At 38.4% G+C, this 22678-nt stretch overlaps 1 long non-coding RNA gene across 1 annotated transcript in view; it reads left to right on the top strand.

Annotated features, from left to right (window-relative positions):
* LOC102724929 (uncharacterized) overlaps nucleotides 1-20511 on the top strand; it is an 88452-nt gene extending 67941 nt beyond the window's left edge. The window contains exon 4 of the long non-coding RNA XR_930303.3: nucleotides 20409-20511. This is a non-coding gene — a long non-coding RNA (uncharacterized LOC102724929). The remainder of the gene's footprint in view (nucleotides 1-20408) is intronic.
* The last annotated feature ends 2167 nt before the right edge of the window (nucleotides 20512-22678 follow it).

Raw genomic sequence — 22678 nt, 5'->3', positions numbered from 1 at the left:
CAACTGAGTTAAATTCACAAGACTAAGATAATTAGGCAAAGTCTTAAGTATTTCATTTATTTGAAAAAAATTGGGTGTATTTCTCATTTATTGAGGCTGTTCAAGACAGGACTTGATAATAATTTGACAGAAAAGTTTTTTAAGCATTGGGGGTGGAGGGGATGGGTTAAACTTAATCAGTGTTTCCCAGGCTATATTCTGGAAACTGGAAAAATTTAAGAGATGTGGCACAGAAGAAAGGAATACTATTCAAATAAGTTTGGGAAACACTGTATTTTATCTAGAACTCTGTCTGAGAGTTTCACAATATGTTTAGATGTAATAAAGGATCTGAAAAGTTCTTAAGAAACTAGTTTAAATTGGCCGGGCACCGCGGCTCATGCCTGTAATCCCAGCACTTTGGGAGGATGAGGCAGGTGGATCATGAGGTCAGGAGTTCAAGACCAGCCTGTCCAACATGGTAAAAACCCTGTCTCTACTAAAAAAAAAAAAAAAAAATACAAAAATACAAAAATTAGCCGGGCAGTGGTGGCTGGCACCTGTAATCCCAGGTACTCAGGAGGCTGAGGCAGGAGAATAGCTTGAAACCAGAAGGCAGAGGTTGCAGTGAGCCGAGATCATGCCACTGCACTCCAGCATGGGCGAAAGAGTGAAACTCTGTCAGAAAAAAAAAAAAAAAAGAAAGAAAGAAAGAAAAGAAAGAAAGAAAGGAAAGAGAAAGAAAGAAAGAAAGAAAGAAAGAAAGAAAGAAAGAAAGAAAGAAAGAAAGAAAGAAACTAGTTTAAATCGATTAGCTTCAGATTTTCCAAATTGTCGAGTTTCAGAGAACTTGTTAAAATCAGGGGACTATTAACTTACAACATATTCTTGCATCTCACAAAGCATCAAGTTATGCTAACTATGAACTAGAATATCATTAAAGTTTATTTTAACATTAATACTTTGTCTTCACCAGTTTCACATTCTATTAAGATAATAGTTCAACCAATATAAAGTTACCTATAGCCATAGTAAATTTAAGTGGAATATCAGCCTTTCTTACCTTTTTTTACCTAGTTAGTCTAGCTCATTGTTCAGATCTCAGTGTAATCAATACTTCCTCAGAGGAACATTTTTACTCTGTGTAGCCCTTTCAGGACACTTAAAATTAATTTGTATCATTATCTGATTAATAAATTTCTCCTAGTTGTAAGCTGAAAATGCCATGACAAAATAGAGTTTATTTTGGCCAAAAGTTGTATTTACCATGGCTAATATGATGGCTGTCCAGCATACAATTTGCTTAATAAATATTCATCAAATGCTTAAAGAATGAAGCATCTCCTAGAAATTTAAGGATACTTCCCTCTCAATGTCTAAGTTCTATCTTGGGCAGAATATGTTAATGACTTAAATCAAGGCTAGAAGACGTGTTTATCAATTTTTTTTTTTTTTTGTAATTAACACAAAGTTTGGAAAGTGGGTAGGGAATGATGAACGAGGGAGCAAAGCAAGTCTCCTCAGGCTGGGTCAATGGGCTGGATCCCTAAATGCAGCCTTTAATAAGGATAGATGGTTGGCCTGCAAAAACAAAACCCCATGGAAGAATTCCAGTATGAGGAAAACAAGGCGTTATGGCATAAGATATTTTCTTCTAAAACAAAACACACACACATACTGACACACACAGAGAAACAAACTGTCACTGATAGCTCAATATCCATCAAGAGTGAGCTATTACTAACACAAATGTATGTTAACTCAGACTATATTAAGAAGTAAAACATCAAGATTTGGGAACTTAGAATTACAGCATAATGCTTCAGAGTGTAGACTCTTGAGGTGGACTTTCAAGATTTGAATTTTGTATCTCCTGCTTCCTAGCTACACGACTTTGAGGTAATTACTTAATATTACTGGATCTAGGTTTCCTCATCTGTAAAATGAGAACCTACCTCAAAGTCGTTATGAAGATTCAAATAGTTAACAGAGTCAAGAAGCTAATCTCAGCTATTCTTATTAGTCATAATAGTAAGATTAGTACTATCACTGATGCAGGAATTCTGTTTTGAGTTTGCACAAGAGGACTCAGTTAAAGGGGGCATTAGAAGGCAGTATAGTATATTTGTCAGCTGTACATACTCTGGTGTTAAGGAGACTTGGATTGAAATCCCTTGCATGCTGCTTACTAGTGAACTTAGGTTGCTGAACCTACTTCTGCCCTTACTTCATTCTTTATTCGGGTTAACTGAAAGAAGTAAATGGGAGGCACCTGAGAATCGCTTAGTTCTGTGTCCATAATAAGTGCCGAAACCCAACAGCAAGTGAGAATCTCAAAGGGAAATGAGAAGATGATTGAAAAAAAGAAGCCAAGCAAGAAATCTAAGACAAGACAAAGAACAATGTCCCCAGTATTTTAAAACACTGGAGGGGCAAAGAGAAAAGTGGGCTACAACTTGAGGTCTCACCAAATAGGTATAAGCTACAGAGAGGCACATCTCAAGGTTAGTTCATTAAGAAAATAAAAATTAATAATTAACAATTTCAAGTAGTCATAGCTACCCCTAAACAGGATAGGAAGCCTTAGAAGATATTAAGTTTTTACTACAGAAATTGCTTATGATTACACTGCACAACAATGTGTAGGAGTTAAACTACATATTCGAAAGTTCCTCCCAACACTCTGTATCTATAGTTCTGAACATCCCATTAATAGTCATACGTTAATGTCCCTTTGTTCCTAAGTGCTCTGACTCAGTTGATCTTAACATGGAAAGAGAGACAGGTGAATAGGAAAGACCAGGGAAATTGATTTTCTTTCCTTAAAGCAAATTTCCATTTCACCACCTATTGCTCATAAACACCTGCATACATTTCTGAACATCCCAACACATGCCTGGGATGCTCTTACTCATTAGCGGGTTGGGATACTGACACGGATTCATTGCCACATTAGTACTGCATGTTGTGCTAACTCTATAGAGTATCTTCCATTCTGGAAGTCTGTGCAAATAACATCAAAATGCCACACTTCTAAGGTGACAGGGGGCAACGATGCTTAAAAATGTTAAATCTCTTTTTAATTTGAAAGGGAGATTTCCTTGATGTTGAGGTGAAAGCAGGAAAAAGCAAGGAAACAAAATGCAAATGTCAGGGCAGGATTTTCCCTTCACGCAGGGTAAAAGACAACATTTAAAGGAAGATTTAAAACATTTAAAGATTCAAAACATGTAAAATAAACGCGTGGAAGCTGGAAATACTCCTCATGGAAGCTGGTAATACTCCTCATAAGAGTTGATTGAATCATGATAAGTAAAATATAATAGCAATATCGGTTTTCTTCTTAAGGTACAACAGGCACTATGCTATGAACTTCACCTACATTGTCTCAAGTTTTCATCATGCAAGTGTCAGGATTTTCAATATTATTTTAAAGATGAGGAAACTGAAGTTTGGAGAAGGGAAGTTGCTGAAAATCACAAAGCCCAGATGGAGTCCAACCAGGATTCAATATCAGTTACCTTTCTTTCTTTCTTTTTCTTTCTTTTCTTTTCTTTTCTTTTCTTTTCTTTTCTTTTCTTTTCTTTTCTTTTCTTTCTTTCTTTCTTTTTCTTTCTTTCTTTCCTTCTTTCTTTTTTTCTTTCTTTCTTTTCTTTTTCTTTCTTTCTTCCTTCCTTTCTTTCTCACTCTTTTCCTTCCTTCCTTTCTTTCTCTCTCTTTTCCTTCCTTCCTTTCTTTCTCTTTTCCTTCCTTCCTTCCTTCTTTCCTTCCTTCCTTCCTCCTGCCCTCCCTTCCCTCCTTCCTTCCTTCCTTTCTTTCTCGGAGTCTTGCTCTGTCACCCAGGCTGGAGTGCAGTGGCACAATCTCGGCTCAACGCAGCCTCTGCCCCACCAAGTTTCCAGTGATTCTCCTGCCTCAGCCTCCCAAGTAGCTGGGATGACAGGCGCCCACCACCATGCCCAGCTAATTTTTTTTTCTTCTATTTTTAGTAGAGACAGGGTTTCGCCATGTTGGCCAGGCTGGTCTTGAACTCCTGACCTCAGGTGATCCACCCATCTTGGCCTCCCAAAGTGCTGGAATTACAGGTGTGAACCATCTTGCCTGGCCTCCCCCTCAAAATTCTATAATATTCTTATTTTAAATGACTTTCTCCCCTTCATATCCCCCCTTGTCTAAAGAACCATGCAAGTGTACATACCACCATCATAGCATTTAGGTCTCCTGTGACTTACAGTTAGTTGGAACACAAACTCCTTTAATAATGAATGCCTCAACCAAATGATGGTCATTTTTATGTTCTTCAGGCCTAGGTCGGGCGCAGTGGCTCACGCCTGTAATCTCAGGACTTTGGGAGGCTGAGATGGGTAGATCACCTGAGGTCGGGAGTTTGAGAACAGCCTGACGAAACATCCATCTCTACTAAAAATACAAAAAAATTAGCTAGGCTTGGTGGCACACACCTGTAGTCCCAGCTGCCTGGGAGGCTGAGGCAGGAAAATCACTTGAACCCCCGGGAGCAGAGGTTGCAGTGAGGCGAGATCATGCCACTGCACTCCAGCCTGGGCGACAGAGTGACTCCTTCTCAAAGATCAAATAAAATAATTAAAAATATATATATTATTCAGGCCTAGTCCTTAGAAATAATACTTGTCCATAGACTAGCACATAGAAATAATATCATTAATATTTATAATATATGAATAACTGCTAATGTTTATCAAGAGGTTAGCATATGTCAGATTCTATTCTAAGCACTTTTCACGCACTAATTCATTTAACAGTATAAGAAACCAATGCAGTAGGTATAATTATATCCATTATGCAGAACATTTAAGTACCTTAGATACTCAATTACGTGAACATTTCTTTTCTTATCCTTGCAAACTGCTATAATTTTACTCTAAAGTTTTGCTCACCTCTTGCCTTCTGTCTCTTCCAAACCATCATTTACAAGGCTTCCAGAATTATCTCATAAAAGCCAAGGTTACATCAGGCCATTCCCCTGATGGTCCCATTTTCTGCAAGAAAGAGTCCAAGCTCCTTAGTCTGTCCATTCAGCGCTTCTTAATCTGACCTCAGCCTGTCTTGCATGTGTGTTTCCACCCTCCTTCATTTGCCCTGTGCCCTAAATCACCTCTGGAGAGCTCAGATCTCTAAGCTAAGTTTAATGATGTTCTTCATCTCATAACATCCTTTCCTGAACTTGTGTGCTGAAACAAAGCAAATATTCCACTGAAGCCTGATTATACATAGGCCAACTGAACATCATGTCCTACCTGGAATGCTGAAATAGTCTTCGGCCTGATTTTTCTACTTCTACACTTGACCCTGCCCTCCCAGAAAGGTCCTCAACTGTAGCCTAAGAGAACATTTTTTGAAAAGTAAGTCAAACACAATTTACCTATGTAACAAGCCTACACATGTTCCTCTAGACCCTAAAATAAGAGTAGAGGAACAAAAAAATTCAAATCATGTCACTGCCCAGCTCAGATCTATGACTGGCTTCTCATATAATCGGAATAATATCCATACTCCTTACTTTGCCCTCTAAGACCCTACGTGGTTTGCCTCATGCCTTCCCTTTCGCCTCCTCTTCTCTGTGCTTCTTGTTCATTCTTGTCAACTATGTGGTTATTCCTGTTATTTTGAGACCACGAGCTCACTCATTGCTCATCCATTGTTGCTTCAACAGTCTTCTACTTATTCTCCAACCTGGACTTTTGGTTAGATCTCTCCTTGACGTTATTCACATCCATGCTCAAATATTATGCTTTCAAGATAGGACTTCTCTGGTCTCCGTATTTTGAATGTTCCCTGTTCTTCCATATATTCACTAATTCCATACTGGTTTATCTTTCTTCATAACATTTCTGCCACTTGAAATCATAGTGTATACTAATTTGTATATTTCTTTCTAGACTGCCTTCACACTCATAAGTTCTAAGCTTTATTAGATTTAAGGATTTGGCCTATTTTATTCTTTGTGTTTTCTTAGCAAATGATACTGGGTGCATCCTAAGTGCACCAGCATGGCACATGTATACATATGTAACTAACCTGCACAATGTGCACATGTACCCTAAAACTTAAAGTATAATAAAAACAAACAAACAAACAAACAAACAACAAAAAAAAAGAATTGTTGAATGAATGCTGGTCCATGGAATTTTTCCCTTTACTCTAAGACAAATTATGTGTTCTTTATCACTTTGCTTCTCCTCAATGGATAGTGTTGGCTAATTCATACCCCTCAGTTCATGACAAATGTTTATGATCCATCCTTACAAAGATATGTTTCTATATTATTTATTTTATTCCCATGTGCCCCCATTTCCCTCTCCACATCACAGGGTTTAATGAGTACCCTTTTGTATTAGTCTGTTCTCACACTGCTAATAAAGACATACCTGAGACTGGGTAATTTTTAAAGGAAAGAGGTTTAATTGACTCACAGTTCCACATGGCTGGGGAGGCCTCACAATCATGGTGGAAGGGGAATGAGGAGTAAAGTCACATCTTACATGGTGGCAGGCAAGAGAGCTTGTGTGGGGTAACTCCCCTTTATAAAACCATCAGCTCTTGTGAGACTTATTCACTATCACAAGAACAACATGGGAAAGACCCATCCCCATGATTCAATTACCTCCCACTGGGTCCTTCCCATGACACATGGGAATTATGGGAGCTAAAATTCAAGATAAATTTTGGGTGGGGACACAGCTAAACCATATCAGCTTTTGTTTATATGAATTTTTGTATGTATGTTATTATTTTGTAGTTAACATATTTTTAATATGTATAAATGAAAACAGTATGATTCTCATTCTATTTGTCCTGTTTTCTGGACCCATCCATGTTACTATGTGCACATCTAGTATGTAGTGTCTCCTGACCTTCTGGTTCTCCATTGGACAGCTGACATATCTTAACCTGCCTCATTCTCCAAGGAGGTGCTCCCACACTCCTTGCAACAAATCCTACAATGAACACCTTTTACTCATCCCTTTGTGTAGGTCCATGAAAATTCTTTCTTTCTTTTTTTTTTTTTTTTTTTTTTTTTGAGACAGAGTCTCACTCTGTCACCCAGGCTGGAGTGCAGTGGCACAATCTCAGCTCACTGCAACCTCTACCTCTTGGGTTCAAGCAATTCTCCAGCCTCATCCTCCCAAGTAGCTGGGAATACAGGCACATGCCACTGTGTCCAGCTAATTTTTGTATTTTTAGTAGAGACCGGGTTTCACCATGTTGGCCAGGCTGGTCTCGAATTCCTGACCTCAGGGAAGATTTGTGGAATGGGACTATTTCTACACTTAATCTGACTAGGCATAGTTGCAATGCTCTCCAGAATGCCTATACATCTATTCTACAACCAGTGGTGCATGGTGGCTTCCTATCCTCATATCTCTGACAACATTTTCCATGATTGAGCTTTCTAATTACTTTTTCAATGCACTTTCCACATTATGGCACATTATGGTGCACAGTACTTCATGTTATCTGGTCACCATCTCTGTCATTGCTGTATGCTGTGCCTCCTAAGGGTGGGGTTACACTGTTATTTTTGTATTCCAAATACAAAAAGTCTAGTCCAGTGCCTGTCACAAAATGTGGACTTAATAGAATGCGTTAAATGAAAGAGTAAGCTATATTTCTTCACTTTAGCTCAGCCCCATCTAGAACATGTATTCACTTTAAAACTGCTATATGCCAAATGTTGTTTTAGATGATACAGATGCATTTTTTTCTAAATCTTTGAGTAAGTTTCTATTCTCTTCTACATATGAGGAAACTGAGGCTAAGCCTCAGTTTTAACATCACAGCTGAGGTGGTTCAAGCACGGGGTTTGAATGCAGATCTGAGTGACTAGAAAGCCAAAGCCATCCCCCTCATTTTTCTGTTTATGTTGATGGATTCTCATGGTAATAAGATAAATGAATCAAGTAGAATTTGTTTTTATATTTTTATATAAGTACTCTCTCTCTCCCCTACAAGTAAGATGAGATTTTCTCTGTGCCATAAACCACAACTCCTGAACTCTATGAAATAACAATATCCCACATTCAGGACGTGTTTAAAGTCACCACCACTCGCAATAATCCTTGGCATTTAGGAACACATTTTTTTTTTTTTCTGGAGAGTTTCTTCTTTAGGGATATCAACACAACTAGCTGTTAATCTGGACATAAAATCCTTGCTTATCTATAGAACCCTAAGCTAGAGGATTTTTTAAATGTCTGGTTGAAGTATATCAAATCCATGTATATATGTTAATTTCTTACTTTGTGCTGGACACTGCTAAATTCTGACAAATGATGATGAATAGGGCAAACATAGTCTGTTACTTCAGAACTCACCAAAGGATATGAGCATGCAGAAAAGGTAGAGACAAAACTAACAGAGAAGAAGTGATAGGGCAAAATGTGAAAACATTACAGGGACACTTAACCCAGCCCTGGAGCAAGGGAGACTTTTGGAAGTAAATGATGGAGATTAATAGGAGAGGAGACAAAGGTGGAAGAAGACAAAGGTGGAGGAAGAAGAAAAAGTGTATTCTAAGAAAAGAGAATGGAGTGTGCAAAAGTCCAGAGGGGAAAAAAAGCCTTGTGTATGCAAGGAAGTAAAAGAAGTTGAACAAGGCTGGAGCGCAGATTGTAAAGCGAAGGGGAAACTCTTACAGTTAAGACTGGACAGCTCAGCAGGGTCCAGGTCACACTGGCTGATTATAAAGTGATTTTAATCTATGTCTGAGGACAGTGGAGACCTATTCGATGGTTAGCAAAGCAAGAAAATGACATGTTCAGATTCGTGTTTTGGAAGATTCTCTTGGCCACAGAAAAAAATAAGATTAAAAGTGGGAATGGGGATAGGAGTTGATACTAGAGGTAAGAGGACCACTTAAATGTTTATTGCAGTGATGCAGGGGAGTGATAATGATGTGGACAAGAACAGATGGGATAGAACTAACTGAGTAACATAGTAAGATAAACCTAGGGACTGATTGGATAAAGGTGGGGAGAGTTAAGGACCATGCCTAGTGCTCAATATTAATCCCCTCACACGCCATAGAATGTAGATTCTATGTTCGTGGTCTCTGTGATGAGCTTTCTGAAAGGCACTTCAGCTAACTCCTAAAAGTACAAAGCACAGCACATTTCTAGGACAGGAAAGGTAATCAAATTAATTTTTTTGTGCTCAGCTTTCATTTTAACTTCTTATTGAACCTGAGTCCGTGATGTTTGAACTTCTAAGAGTTTGCTTCTGGTTCCTGTTTCCTTCCAACTCAAATCAATAGAGCAAATGGTGAGTGAAGGCAATCAACCTTTAGTCAGGATGGTTTAGCAAGACAGTTATTGCAGAGAGTTTCTGTTTTCCTGATCTTGGATCTTTTCTTTGTGGGACCTTCACTAGTACCACCTCATGACCTCTTTCTCTGACTCATTCTCCCAACAGAAGTTGGAATGAATTATTCGATTGGTGAATTCGAAAGGAGAAATAGAGTATGTATGTGTTAATTGCTAACATTTTCAACATCTCCAAAATACCACATTGACTTCTCTAGATGAGGTAGTTCAGATGAGTTCACAACTCTCTGGAAAAGGGTCCTTTTCAAAGCTTATTTTTATATAGTCAATTGTACCGTTATTCTTTTCCTATTGTCTTCTATTTACATTTTCTTTTAAATTTCTCTTTCTCTCTCTTTTTATTTTTGCTCTCTCACCTTTTTGTCTCACTCATGTCTCCTTTAACTGGATTCTTATTCCTTTGTTTCAACATTAAAAATACCAATTTTAGTGATTATTTTAAAACCATTTTGTGTTTTTAATACACACACTCTCTGACCCTCTCCCGACCCCCTCCCATTCTCTCAGAAGAGATCTGAAAGATGGCATATCTATTAATTAACAAGTCTCGCTTTGTCATTCTAACTTACTTCAGAATCAGTGTTAATTTATAAATAACTATCTAGTTTTGTAAAAATGACTAACTGGGAAATATCCAAACATTCAAGATCTTCCTTCCCAAGCCAATTATACATCTTTTATAGTAATTTTCATTACGTCCATATTTAAACCTGCTAACCCTGCCCTGAAGCCAAATCAGCCTGTGGAGAATCTAAGATGTCCTAGAATGTTTCCTGGAATGTCTTTCTATTTTTGTGTTCTTGTGCATCTGTCATTACTAACAAGAAGAAGCTCAAAACACACGGTTTCCAAGAAGCTGCCCTTGATATACTTACATATTTATATACTGTGTTGCTCCAAACATTTTTATTCTATACAAAAACCTCACTAAACATTTTCTACTTCTTCTAAAATTCTCCCCATATCCACAGTTTTAAAATCAATCACTCTATCTATCTATCTATCTATCTATCTATCTATCTATCTATCTATCTACCTACCTATCCAATTTATCTATCAATTGAGAGTAGAACAAATTATTTCCTTTTTAGAAGACTTACATCAGGCTCAGGAATCATTAAGCTTACAGTCTGGGTCAGGGATGATGTAGGAATGATTGTCTCTCCCCACAGTTCAGGGAAGTATACATGTACTTGCTCTAATAAAGCCTATATTGGTTTTATAACCAATCATATTAGGTTCTTGGCTTTGATTGCTCTGGGTTTGATGTTCACTAACTCAAGAGCAGAATTCAGTAACCATTTATCACATTTCTCTTTGGTCTTATTGTTAGACATGATGCAGAATTATAATAAAATATAATAAAAATACTTTTACATTTGCATCTGGTTAAACTATAACCATTCTACTTCTGTTCCATTAATGATTTCAACTCCCATTAGTGTCTATACTTTCACAGGTACCATGTCCTTTATTTATTTTACATCTTCCAACACAATTCATTTGGCATTCCGTACTCAGTAAGTGATCAATACGTGCTTGTTAACTGAGTTAGTGAGAAATTGAGTCCTTGGCATCTGCCCTTGCAAAGGAGAAACATTTCCCACCCAGAAAGTGTGAGGAAAAGAAATCTAGAGAGAGAGAGACTATTTGGAACCTTGGCAACTCACATGTTGTCATATTGCTTCAGAGTCCTGCGCCCTGTGTTTAGGGAGTAAGGAAAAAGGATGATCCAACCTCTGATCAAGGACAAATGACGGCAAGGAATCCTCAGAGCAGCAAACAGGAAAGTTGATGCTAGACAGAAGTTCAATCTCCCAGGGAATCTCAGGCATTGGAAGCTATCCTCGTTGTCTGGGCTCTCTAGAGCCACTGACATGGGAAATTCAAATGTTAGAAGACACAAGTTCAGAGCAACATTTGTCATAGGTGGCTATTTCTGCCACAATTACCCGTGGCTCCCAGACTCATCATTTGTAATTAAAGTAGGGGTGTTTGACATTTTCCATCATTGCAATTTCTGCTACCCTATGACCAAATGACATGGCACCCCTTGAGCCTTGATGACGGGCTGAGAAAGAAAGATCCCTTGGTTTTAGACCACTCAGCCTGCGTGGCCTACAAGTAACCATTTGTCATTATCTTCCACCATTTCATTACCTGCACTGCACTGCCACCTCCATGCTTCTGCTCATGGTTTTTCTTCTGTTTCATAAGCCCCACATCACTACATTTCTCATCTCTTAAGGCCTATTTTTTTAAAACTTATTCTCTATGAATCCAGGTAGCAGAATGTAATGATTGCCAGTGTGAACATAAGAGGCAGGCTTCTGGGATTAAAATTCCAGCTCCCTTACTCACTAGCAATATGACCTTAGGCAAGTTAGCCTCTCAGCCTCAGTTTTCTGGAAGTAGACTATTATGTGCATACGAATTTACCTTCCTCATGGATGTGATCGGGAATAAATGATTATGTGTGTATGTCTATATGTGCATTTACACATGTTTATTTCTGTATCTATTATTATGTGCATACTAATTTACCTTCCTCATGGATGTGATCAGGAATAAATGATTATGTGTGTGTGTCTATATGTGCATTTACATATGTTTATTTCTGTATATATGTACACACCCATATACACATACAAACTTAAAATAGTGCCTGACATTTACTAAATCTTAATAAATGCTGGGTGTTTGCTATTATCGCTCTTTAATTTCTTACTGTTGAAATCCTTATAGTTTTTGTGTTGTTCTCTCTGTCTCTCTGTCTCTCTCTCTCCCCCTCCCTCCCTCTCTGTCTCCCTCCTTCCCTCCCTTCTTCTTCCTTCTCTCTCTCTCTTTTTCTCCCTCTATTTATTTCTCACTTCTCATATACATTAGTTTGTAGTGTAGCCTTGAAGTCATGGAATTTATAAATATCACCGAAGTGGTATTAGTATTAAAACCTCATTCTCAAAATAAGTCTTCAAAAAGGTGACTCACATGTAAACACAGACTAGCTGAGGCAATACGCTCACCTTGTGTGTTCTTTCTTTCCTGCTCAGCCTCTTGAATTGTCTTTGCCCCTACCTGCACTAAAGGAAGATTTGCTTTCTGCTACCATTTTCCACCATAGAGGTGCTAATGTTCCTGTCAAGAATCTCCACATTCTGCCAATCCTACCAATCCTTGTGATGCTGACAGAATATTGGACCTGTATAGGAATGAGTGCAGAGTAGAAAGTGAAAGACACAGACAAGAGGACAGAGCTTTTCTTTCCAAGCTCTGTATCCAATCTTAGCTCCTGGTATTCAAAGCATTAATGCTTGTGCTCAGGGTAGCTCAAGTCCTGGTAACATCCATCTTTCAATCACTTTCCATGATATTTTTTTCTTGAATCTTCTCAGCCCCTTTCTTTATTGAATTGCTCTTCTCCTCTCCTACTTATAAAATTAAGACCTCTCCTATCCACAAAACAAAATACATGTGAATTAGCTACAGATTTGTGTGTGTGTTTGTATAAATGCTGACCACTTGCATCAACCTTATATGTTTTGAATATATAACAAAGAGAATGAAATACAAAATACATAGGAATACTACAGAAAACCCCAAGCCTTCTTTGACTCTTTAAGAAAAGTGCCAATAGCAAGAATATTTCAAAGGCTTTGTGTGTATGTTTGAATGAATAACTCACATCAAAGCAACTCACATACTAAATATCATTCCATAATTATAACACATCCGGAAGTAGGCAAATTTAATATTGTTTGCTCTTTCATAAGGCAACTGATGATTAAGTGATGAATCAAGTCCCAACAGTGATTAATCGGCAAGGCTAAGATTTGAACTTAAGTTATCTGATCCAAAGTCTAAAATTTACTACCAGACATACTAATTCCCCAGCATAGCAATGGCTGTCATTCTTATAATATCAAAATAATTTCCACCTGCTTTATAGTTTTATTTGTAACTCATAAACTTGAATTTACATAATATAATTTTGACATAGTATTTTATTCAAAGAAATGTAGTGCAACAATAATGGATAATTATGAAATTTAAAACATTTCTGGGAGGACCTCAAAGAAGATCAAAGAAAGTAGTCATCCTTCCAGCCTGCATAGATATTCTTGTTTATTTTCATTTTACTATTTTACCCCCATCCTGGGTAAATATAGCCCACTCTGATCCAAATTCATCATAATGCCAGGAAATAATACCAGAGTTAATACCAGGAAAGGGGCTGAAAAAGACCAACTTCACTTTATGGGATGAAACCATGTAAGAAAATGAATGACGAAAGACAGATTTTTTCTTTTGAAGTTAAAATAAAAGGGATGGTAAGCATTTGCAATTTAATCTCCCACTTAAGCTCCATCAGATATCCCAACAACTTCTTGTGAGACAAGTGTGTCTGGCATAAGTATTTTACAGAAAAGAAACCATGCGTCGAATATACTATTTGGATTATGTGCTTCTACTGCAAAAATATAAAGACCTGAGTATACACAAATATAGAATGGTAGACGCATACTCCACCACACTTCATTTCCCTGACATCCTTCAGCACATGCATTTGATGCTCAGTTAATTAAGATCCAAAACATGTAGTGAAGGAAACAGATTCTCTGCTTATTTACCTAAGTTGTGATGTACATAGCCCTGAAATTATAGCTTCATCTTATGATTGTGCCAGCCTCTAATTCCTGGTATTAATCAAAGGCTGGATAAATGACAGGCTGTGGTAGATGGTGAGGGACAGCTATACTCAGGTCTTGAATTTCTTGAATGAGCTACACTCAGGATGAATGTGAAATGGCCTGCCACTCCCTACAGCTGCCTTCAGGAGTTCCAATCACAAACTTGACCACAGCCCCTTTACTGCAGTTATTCTCATGGTTTGTCAGTCACAGCTCTTTCCTCTGGTTTAGATTTGTCATTTCTCACATCTAGTATTCTAAAGCTAAAAATAAATAAGAACAGGCATCTGACTTCAGACAGGAGTTTGTTTTCAGATAGATTTTTATGTCCTCTCACCAGGAATAAAGATGCTGGAGCTTCTTAGCTTCTTAGAACTACTTTCATCTGATCTAATCTTTTCCCCATTCCCATTATACTCCAGCCACACAGGTCTCCTTTTGGTCACTTGAGCATGTTTACTCGGGGCTTTTGCACAAACTCTTCCCTGTTCTTGCAGTATTTTTCCCCAGAACCTTTATACAATTTACTTATCATTTAACTTTTTGTTTAACTATCACCTCTTCAGAGAGATCTTGCCATATACCTTAGCTCAAAGACCCTGTGTTGTTAGACTGAGGACCATAAGGAGCAGATGCCAAGACAGAATTAAACGTGGCAAGGAATTTACCAGGGGTAGTGCGTGTCAGAGAAAATGGGGAAGGAGCTCAGATAAGCTGAAGAACTGTCAAACAGCAGAGTAGTTCTGAGAGTGAATGGAGGAGACAAAGAGTGAACAAAAGTTGGGTAAAAGTATCTTAAGATGCTTTGCAATTCTAAGTAAACTTTGGCATGTTCATACGTGGTTCCTTGACCCAAATTTGTATGTCAGAGATTTCAAACCTCTTTCAAGAATGACATTATCTTAGAATCTTTCTCAAGCTCAGTTGCTGGCTGGAAATGGCCCCTAGAAAGTCTGGCCCAGTTGCAAATGGGGTGATAGCATAAGAAGTAGTAACTTCACACATCTGGAGATCTGAGTGTTATATTCTCATGGCTGCCACATACCCTTCTCTCCACTTTCTATCTCTATCTTATCTCTCTGTTTCATTTTCTACCTGAAACTGTCTGCAATTACCTCATTTATTATTTATGCTTTTACAATTGGTCTTCCTTCTGAGGTTGAAAACTCCGTGAACATAGGATCATTATTTACCTTCATACCTAAAACATGTTTCAGATGCCTAGCAAGTGGAAAGTAAAACATACTCAACTTGCTAAATGACTGAGTCAATAATTGTTAACAGATCGTCACTGAACCCATTTATCTTTTAAAAAGTAAACATAAAATATGCTCCTAAATGATCTATGAGTTATTTCTAGAAATCCTCTTTTGCTTATTGTGACATGGTAGTTCCATCTCTTAACAGTAGTGTTTGTTCTTTTTCACCCACCTGACAGTAAAACATCAACTCCATAACTCTTTCATTAGCTCTATCCACATATTATAGCTAAATTCAAATCTCAACTAATACCAGCCAATGAGGCTAGCCTAATGATAAACTTTGGAAGAACTGTAACATTTATTAAATGCTTACTTCTAAATGAATAGCATTATAGATTGCTCAATTTTAGCACTTGAATGTATAGTGGATACTTTCCAGCCCAGTTAATGATCCAGTTCTTCCATTTTATCCTGAGATTTCACATCCAACCAAACATTTCTAGTGATTTCAAAGATTTACATTACTCACAATTTAGATATTAACAAAGTACTTTTTGTCTCTGTAGATTTCTACACCATTTTGGTAGTGCAGAAAGTATATATCAGATACACTTTCTTCTCTGAAGCTCTTTTTAATTATTTCTTTTGTACAGATAAAAACTTTATGAAGTAAGAGGCTAGGACTAGCAGTAAGTTCTACATTTGCAAAATGCTTAATCGGTGTAAAATGAATGTCAATGATCCCAAATATACACTGTGCAACTACTACGTGCAACTTTGAATTCCCATCAAAATCTGCCTCCTTCTGTTACACTGTACATATACAATTCTCTTTATATTGTATGATAATCATCCGAGATAATTCATTTTGGGTTTTGAGACTTTTTCTTAAAAATATCCTCAAAGCTATTTTATTTTCCACTTTTCAATTTATTTATGTATATATTTTCTTTAAAAATAAAAGGAGATCAATAAAATATTGTGATTATCAGTGTCCTTTGTATTTTCAGCCAGATCATTTCTCCCCCAAAAAACAAATTCAATCATGTCACTCACTTCAATGGTCCTCAATTTTCTTTGCCCTTGGAATAAATTCCAAACCTATTATATGTCTTCATCTTGTAGCTATCCCTTCTACTGCTCTGGTCTTACTTATCTTCATTTATTTCACAGCACACTGTTGGTGCTCACCACACTGTGTTTCTATTTTATTTCTAGACCTTCCCTCTTAGAACTTTCCTTATCCCTACTTTTTTCCACTGTTTTAGTCAATTTGCTACTTCTATAACAGAATATCACAGACTGGGTAGTTTATGTTTAAAAAAATATGTCTTGTAGTTCTGGGAAATAGGAAGGCTAAGACCACGATGCTGGCATCTGCTCCCCTTCTAGTGGGGGCTTCGTGCTGCTTTATAACATGGTGGAGGGCCTTGTATGAGGAGAGGGCAAGAGTATGAGTGTCAGCTCAGGTCTCTCTTCCTCCTCCTAAAAAACAACCAACCAACACATGAATTTGGGGGTTAAATTTCCAACACATAAAATTTGGGAAACACATTCAAATCGTAGCATCCAACCCCTGATCCCCAAAACTCATGTCATTTTTACATGCAAAATACAATCATTTCACCCCTAAAGCCCCAAAATTTTAATTTTCTAGCAATAACTTAAAATTCCAAAATTTGGAGTCTCACTAGATTGGATATGGGTGAGAGTCAAAGCACAATTTATCTTGAGGTGAATTCCTTCCAGCTATAAACCTGTGAGATTAAACAAGTTATCTAGTTTCAAAATACAAAGGTGGGACAAGCATAGAATAGATATCCCCATTCCAAAAAAGAGAAATAGGTAAGAAGAAAGAAGTAAACAGGCCCCAGTCAGTCCAAAACCCAATAGGGAAAACCACATTTTGTCCTAAAGCTGGAGAATAATCTCCTTTGACTCCATGTCCTACATTTTGGGCACACTGGTGTGGGGGTTGGGTCCCCAAAGCCTAGAAAAGTGCCACTCCCATGGCTTTCCTGGGCTCAGCCAACACATCAGTTCTTGTGGGTTGGAGTCAGATGTCTGTGGTTTTTCCATGCTAGAGCTACACACTAGGGCTTCCACCGTCCTGGTCTCAGAGGTGGCTCTGTCCCCATGGTTCCACTAGACATCACTCTAGTAGGGATTCTCTTCAGTGGCCTTGCTTCCATGATTCCAATAGGCATTGCCCTAGTTGGAGCTCTCTGTGGTGGCTGTGGCTCTTTCCCCACATTTCCACTTGCCATTGTCCTAGTAGGGCCTCTCTGTAGTAGCTTCAACCCTGTATCAAGTATCAGCCAGGGCCCCCAGGTTGTTCACAACATTTTTTGAAAGCTAGGTGGAGGAAGCCATGCTCCCATAGCTCTTGCAGTCTGTGATCCTGCAGACTTAATATCAGATGGATGATGCCAAGACTTGCTGCTGCTTGCATCTTCCAGCACAGCTAGTTGAGCTACGTTTGGAGTTGCTTGAGCCACAGCTGGGAGGACCAAGAAGCACTGCACCCATCAGTGTAGGGAGTGGAGAGTTGAGGCAGTCATGGGCAATAAACTCATAGAGGGCATCCCAAGCCTATTTCCTGAAACCATTCTGCCCTTTGAGAGAGCTCTGGACCTGTCATGGGTGGGGCAGCCTTGAAGATCTTTTAAATGCCTTCATGCTTTGTTCCCATTGCCTTGATGATCACTTCAATCAGTACTAATCTTCTTAGCAAATAGTCACTGGGTCACACCCTTGGTTTTCTCTCCTAAACATGCTTTTTCATACTTTACATGGCCAGGCTAAGAGTTCTCCAAATCTTTTTGCTCTGCTTCCCTTTTAATTATAAATTCTATCTTTAAATCATCTCTTTTTTCTATTGTTTCACTATAAGTAGTTAAAAGTAGCCATGCAGTAGTCTCAATGCTTTGCTGCTTACGTATTTCTTCTGCCAGATATTCCAGCTTGTCAATGTTAAATTCCATCTTTCGTAAAGCCCTTGAGCATGAACACAGTTCAGCCATGTTTTCTGCCAGTTCAAAACAAAGATGGCTTTTACTCAAGTTTCTAATACCTTGTTTCTCAGTTCCATCTGAGAGGTTGGAATGGCTTTCACTGTCCATATTTTTATTAGCATTCTGATTATGGCCACTTAAATAAACTCTAGGAAATTCCAGACTCTGTAATTCTCTTGCCTCCTTCTGAGCACTCACCAGAATCACACTTAATGCTCTGTTAATGGCAATGCAGACCTTTTCTAGACTTCTCCATATTCTTGCAGCCTCTGCCCATTACTCAGTACCAAAGCTTCCATATTTTAAGGTATTCATTATTATTAACAACCCCACTCCTGGTACCAATTTTCTGTCTTAGTTTGTCTTCTCCTGCTATAACAGAATGCCACAGATCAGGTGATTTATAAAGAAAATGAATTTATTTCTTACAGTTCTGGAAGCTAGGAAGTCCAAGAGCATGGTGCCAACATCTGCTTTACTTTTTGGGCGGGTCCTCTTGCTGCTTCAAAACACAGTAGATGCATCATATGGGGAGAGGGCAAAAGCAAAAGCAGCTCAGATCTCTCTTCCCCTTCTTATAAAGCTACCGGTCTCATCATGGGGACCCCACTCTGATAACCTCATGTAATCTGAATTACCTCTCAAATGTCCCACATCGAATCAACATACAATATTTGGGGATTAAATTTCTAACACACTAAATTCTGGGGGCACATATAACCTCTATTAACCTGGTATTATTTCTCTTTAATTTCTTACTCTTGGAACCCTTATAGTTTCTTTTTGTGTCTCTCTCTCTCTCCCTCCCTCTTCCTCTCTCTCTCTCTCTTTCTCTCATATGAGGACAAACATAACCTCCTCAATCTGGTTTGCCCTTGCCAGTGCTTCAGATTTCAGCTTAGAAGTTCACTACCTTCAAGAAGCTGACTCTGATCTCTTCTCCATCCAGGTTATACTAGATGCTCATCTCCGGGGCTCCGATAATAATTGTTAGTTTCCTATCATTTTGTATTTCACACTGTGTTAGAGTTAACTGACTATATGCACAAAAGATTAGTTTTGGTATAATTCTGGGGCTTGCAGAGTGCCTAATAGTAAGCAGACGTTTGTTGAAGAAAGAAGAAGGAAGGGAGGAAGGAAGGAAGGAAAGAAGGAAAAGATGGGGGGGAGAGAAAGAGGGAGGGAGGGAGGATGGAGGGATGGGAGGGGAAGAGGGAGAAAGGAGGAGAAAGGAAGAAGGGCAGAAGGAGGAAAGAGGGAGAAAGGGAGGGAGAAAGGAAGGCAGGAAATAGGGAGGAAGGAAGAAAAGAGGGGGAAGGAGGAAGGAAGGCAACCAACAGAAGTCCTGATATATACCCAATGCCCTTAGAGCTTATTCATAATTGAGTGAATCAGAATCTGCACAAGTTTAGTCTTATTGACCATAATTACTCTGTAAAATAAAGAATATATAGATTTTATATTGACAATGGGTCATTAGTAATCTATGACAACTTTAAGAAAACTATACTTATGTTTTGAGGAGTGCAGTAGAGAATAACTACCACATACTCACATAAATCACCCCTTAGTGTCCCTTAATTCACTCAATAGAAAAGCCAAGTACTATAGCTAGAAGAAAAAAGCCAGCCCCATCAAAGCATTTTCCTACTGACGAATGCAGGGTTACAGGGCTGACTTGAGTTATAGGGACATTTCTTTCATACTCTCTAACTAATCTATTAAGACAGCTTCAGGTACAAATCAAATCCACCAACCAGAAGACCACTGAGCTGTGTGTGATTCAGGAATCACATACTTGCTATGCAGTTTTGGGATTCTCATATCCCCTCTCTGGGCCTTGATCATAATACATGCCAGATTAATGAGTTTAACTAAATGATATCTGTAGTCTCTTCTGGCTCTGAAATTCTGTTGTTCTAGGTTTCCAACACCCCATCCGCTTTGAGAAGACATCAGTGTCCCTCTATAGCTGATTGCTCCCTCCTCCATCATGCACTGTCCTCCTCCCACTGAGGACAATGCATCATCCTGGACCCCCAAAGTGGTATCAGGCAGCCAGACAATCTCATTTACTCACAACTAGTTCCATCATCAGGACCCGGTATATCCAATGATGATTTACCACATGTCGTTAATATGTTTGTTATATTTTGTTGGCAGAATATGAAAGTTCATCAGCAAGCCAGCACACAGGGAAAGCATATTGAAATGAGCATTATGGATCTGTCAGGCTGGAGTTTATGGCCTTTCTCAGTACTACACTGTAAGTACAACAATCCCTGATTGAGTCAGCAGCCTCCTGGGTACTCATTTGCCAAAGTGTAGGGAATTTTAATGCTAAGTTTATCTGCCTGTGTTAGGCAGGCAGAATTGTGGGTAGGTGGGAAGATTGCCTTGGCTTAGGAGTTTTATAAACAACTCTGCAAGTTCCACAGATACCAGGAGTGAAGCTTTCAGTGAGTTTGGCCTCTTATCTTCTTATCTTCTTATAGATTTTGGAGATGTAGTATCCTGGAATTTTAATACTCAGTTTGCAAATCCTCCTTTTAAAACCAATGCATTGAATTGCAATGAAAAACAGGGAGGAAGAAAGAAATAATTCACAGGGGACGGAGACTGTAAAAAAAAAAAAAAAGATGAAGAAAAAAGGGGGAATGAGAATCATTAAAATCCCAGTTACTGAGTATGATTGTTGCAAATATCCTCACACCTTTTTTCCTTTACAGTCAAATTCCACGATGGGTTCAGGCTACCTCACTGGGGAATTGGGTTCTCAGAACAGGACTTGGTAGCTGCCGACACTGTCTAAAGAGATTACACAGCTTTGTAAGTCCAGACTAATGCATTGGGAGAATGGATTTTGGGAACAAATTTTCTGTTTCTTCTTTCTGTAAAGCATAGAAAGCACGAAAAGAGGGGAGTGCATTTCTACCTATGGGAAGAGATCTGATTCTGTGATTTGGGGGAGGGTTGGATATTTTTCAGTGGGCAGTTCAAAGAAGTTTCCCTGGCTCAGACTCAGGTGTTATTAGCATTAACAGAGTTATCTCATAGTAACAATGTCAATCACCACCATTTCTTCTTCCTCAGCAGGAAGGCTTATCCATTAATGTTTCGTTTTCTTGTTCTTGAGCAGGCACTTAGTATTCTAGGAGCTGGAATCTATTTTTCATGCCAATGCCATGCAGCTGTTGGTCACCTGGCTAATGCTGGGGCCACTCTACATTCCACAAGCAGGGAGCTGTGGTCACTTGGCATTCCAGAGGCATTCCAAAGCTGCAGGTCATTCATTATGCCAAGGTTAGTTTGTGGGCCTGCAGAGCCCAGAGCCCTGCGTGCTAGCCTGTGCTAGTTGCAATTGGAAATTCTGAGGGAGATGTAACTCCACTGGTGGCAGAAGGCCCATGATGGACAGGAGAGAAAATAAAAATTAACTTCAAGGAAGTCTTAACTAGCTCTCAGAGAGTATGATGAGGACAATATCTGGGGCACACAAAGTCAAAGATGGATATTTTTTGAGAAGAGAAAGAAGAGTATAAATCTAAATCAGATAATACATTGCTTTTTCTTAATTAGATGAAAAGCAAGATATGACATAATTATAAAGCATGCTAGTTCTAAAATCAGTCAAGATTGGGTTCAAATCCTGCCTCTGCTTATTAATTGTATGACTTTGAGTGATATGTTTATCTTCTTTAAATATTGGTTTCATCTGTAAAATAGAAACAAGATAATCTACCACTTTAAGATAACATCCTTGAAAGACAGTGCCTAACTCAAAGAAAATACTCTATGGATTTATTATTATTTATTTATTACTATTATTGTTGTATTTGTTGAAAAATACCTGAATTGAAAAGATGAAGATAGCGCTAACCTTCCTTAATGAATTATGAATACTCATTCACTCCTTTCCAATTTCTTCTATGCTAGATCAGGCATTGCATTAGGCATAGAAATTATTTTTGCTGAATCTGGACAGATTAAGCCTGGCCTGTGACTATATGACCATAGATTTAATCCAAAAGGCACTCAGTGACTATATTCTGTGTACAGTCCTCTTTTCCAGTCTCTGTGGTTAGCACAAAGATCAAGGGTACTTACTCTTCACCTTAAGAAAACTATGATACATATTTAGGAGAGAATATGTGTTTACAATTAGGCACTCTGTAACCATATATGCTGAGGAACAACAGCAACAGAAAGTACATAGTCTTTAGTACCTGGAATTCAGAGAATGATCAGACCAGACAGTAGTTCTTAACATGTATGTGAAGACATTTATTTGGCCCCACAGTTCCAAACACTATTATGGTGGTGGCATGCTGGCTGTACCGTCTTCAGTATTATCTCATCATAAATTAAAGTCCAGCAGAACAGGTAGCTGAAGCCAGATAAGAAAGAACCTTGATTTTCAAGCTAGGAGTATA

The sequence above is a fragment of the Homo sapiens genome, chromosome 9 (assembly GCF_000001405.40).
Source record: "Homo sapiens chromosome 9, GRCh38.p14 Primary Assembly".
Taxonomy (NCBI): Eukaryota; Metazoa; Chordata; class Mammalia; order Primates; family Hominidae; genus Homo; species Homo sapiens.
The sequence above is the reverse complement of the archived record's forward strand: the minus strand, read 5'-3'. Positions and strand labels throughout refer to the sequence as shown.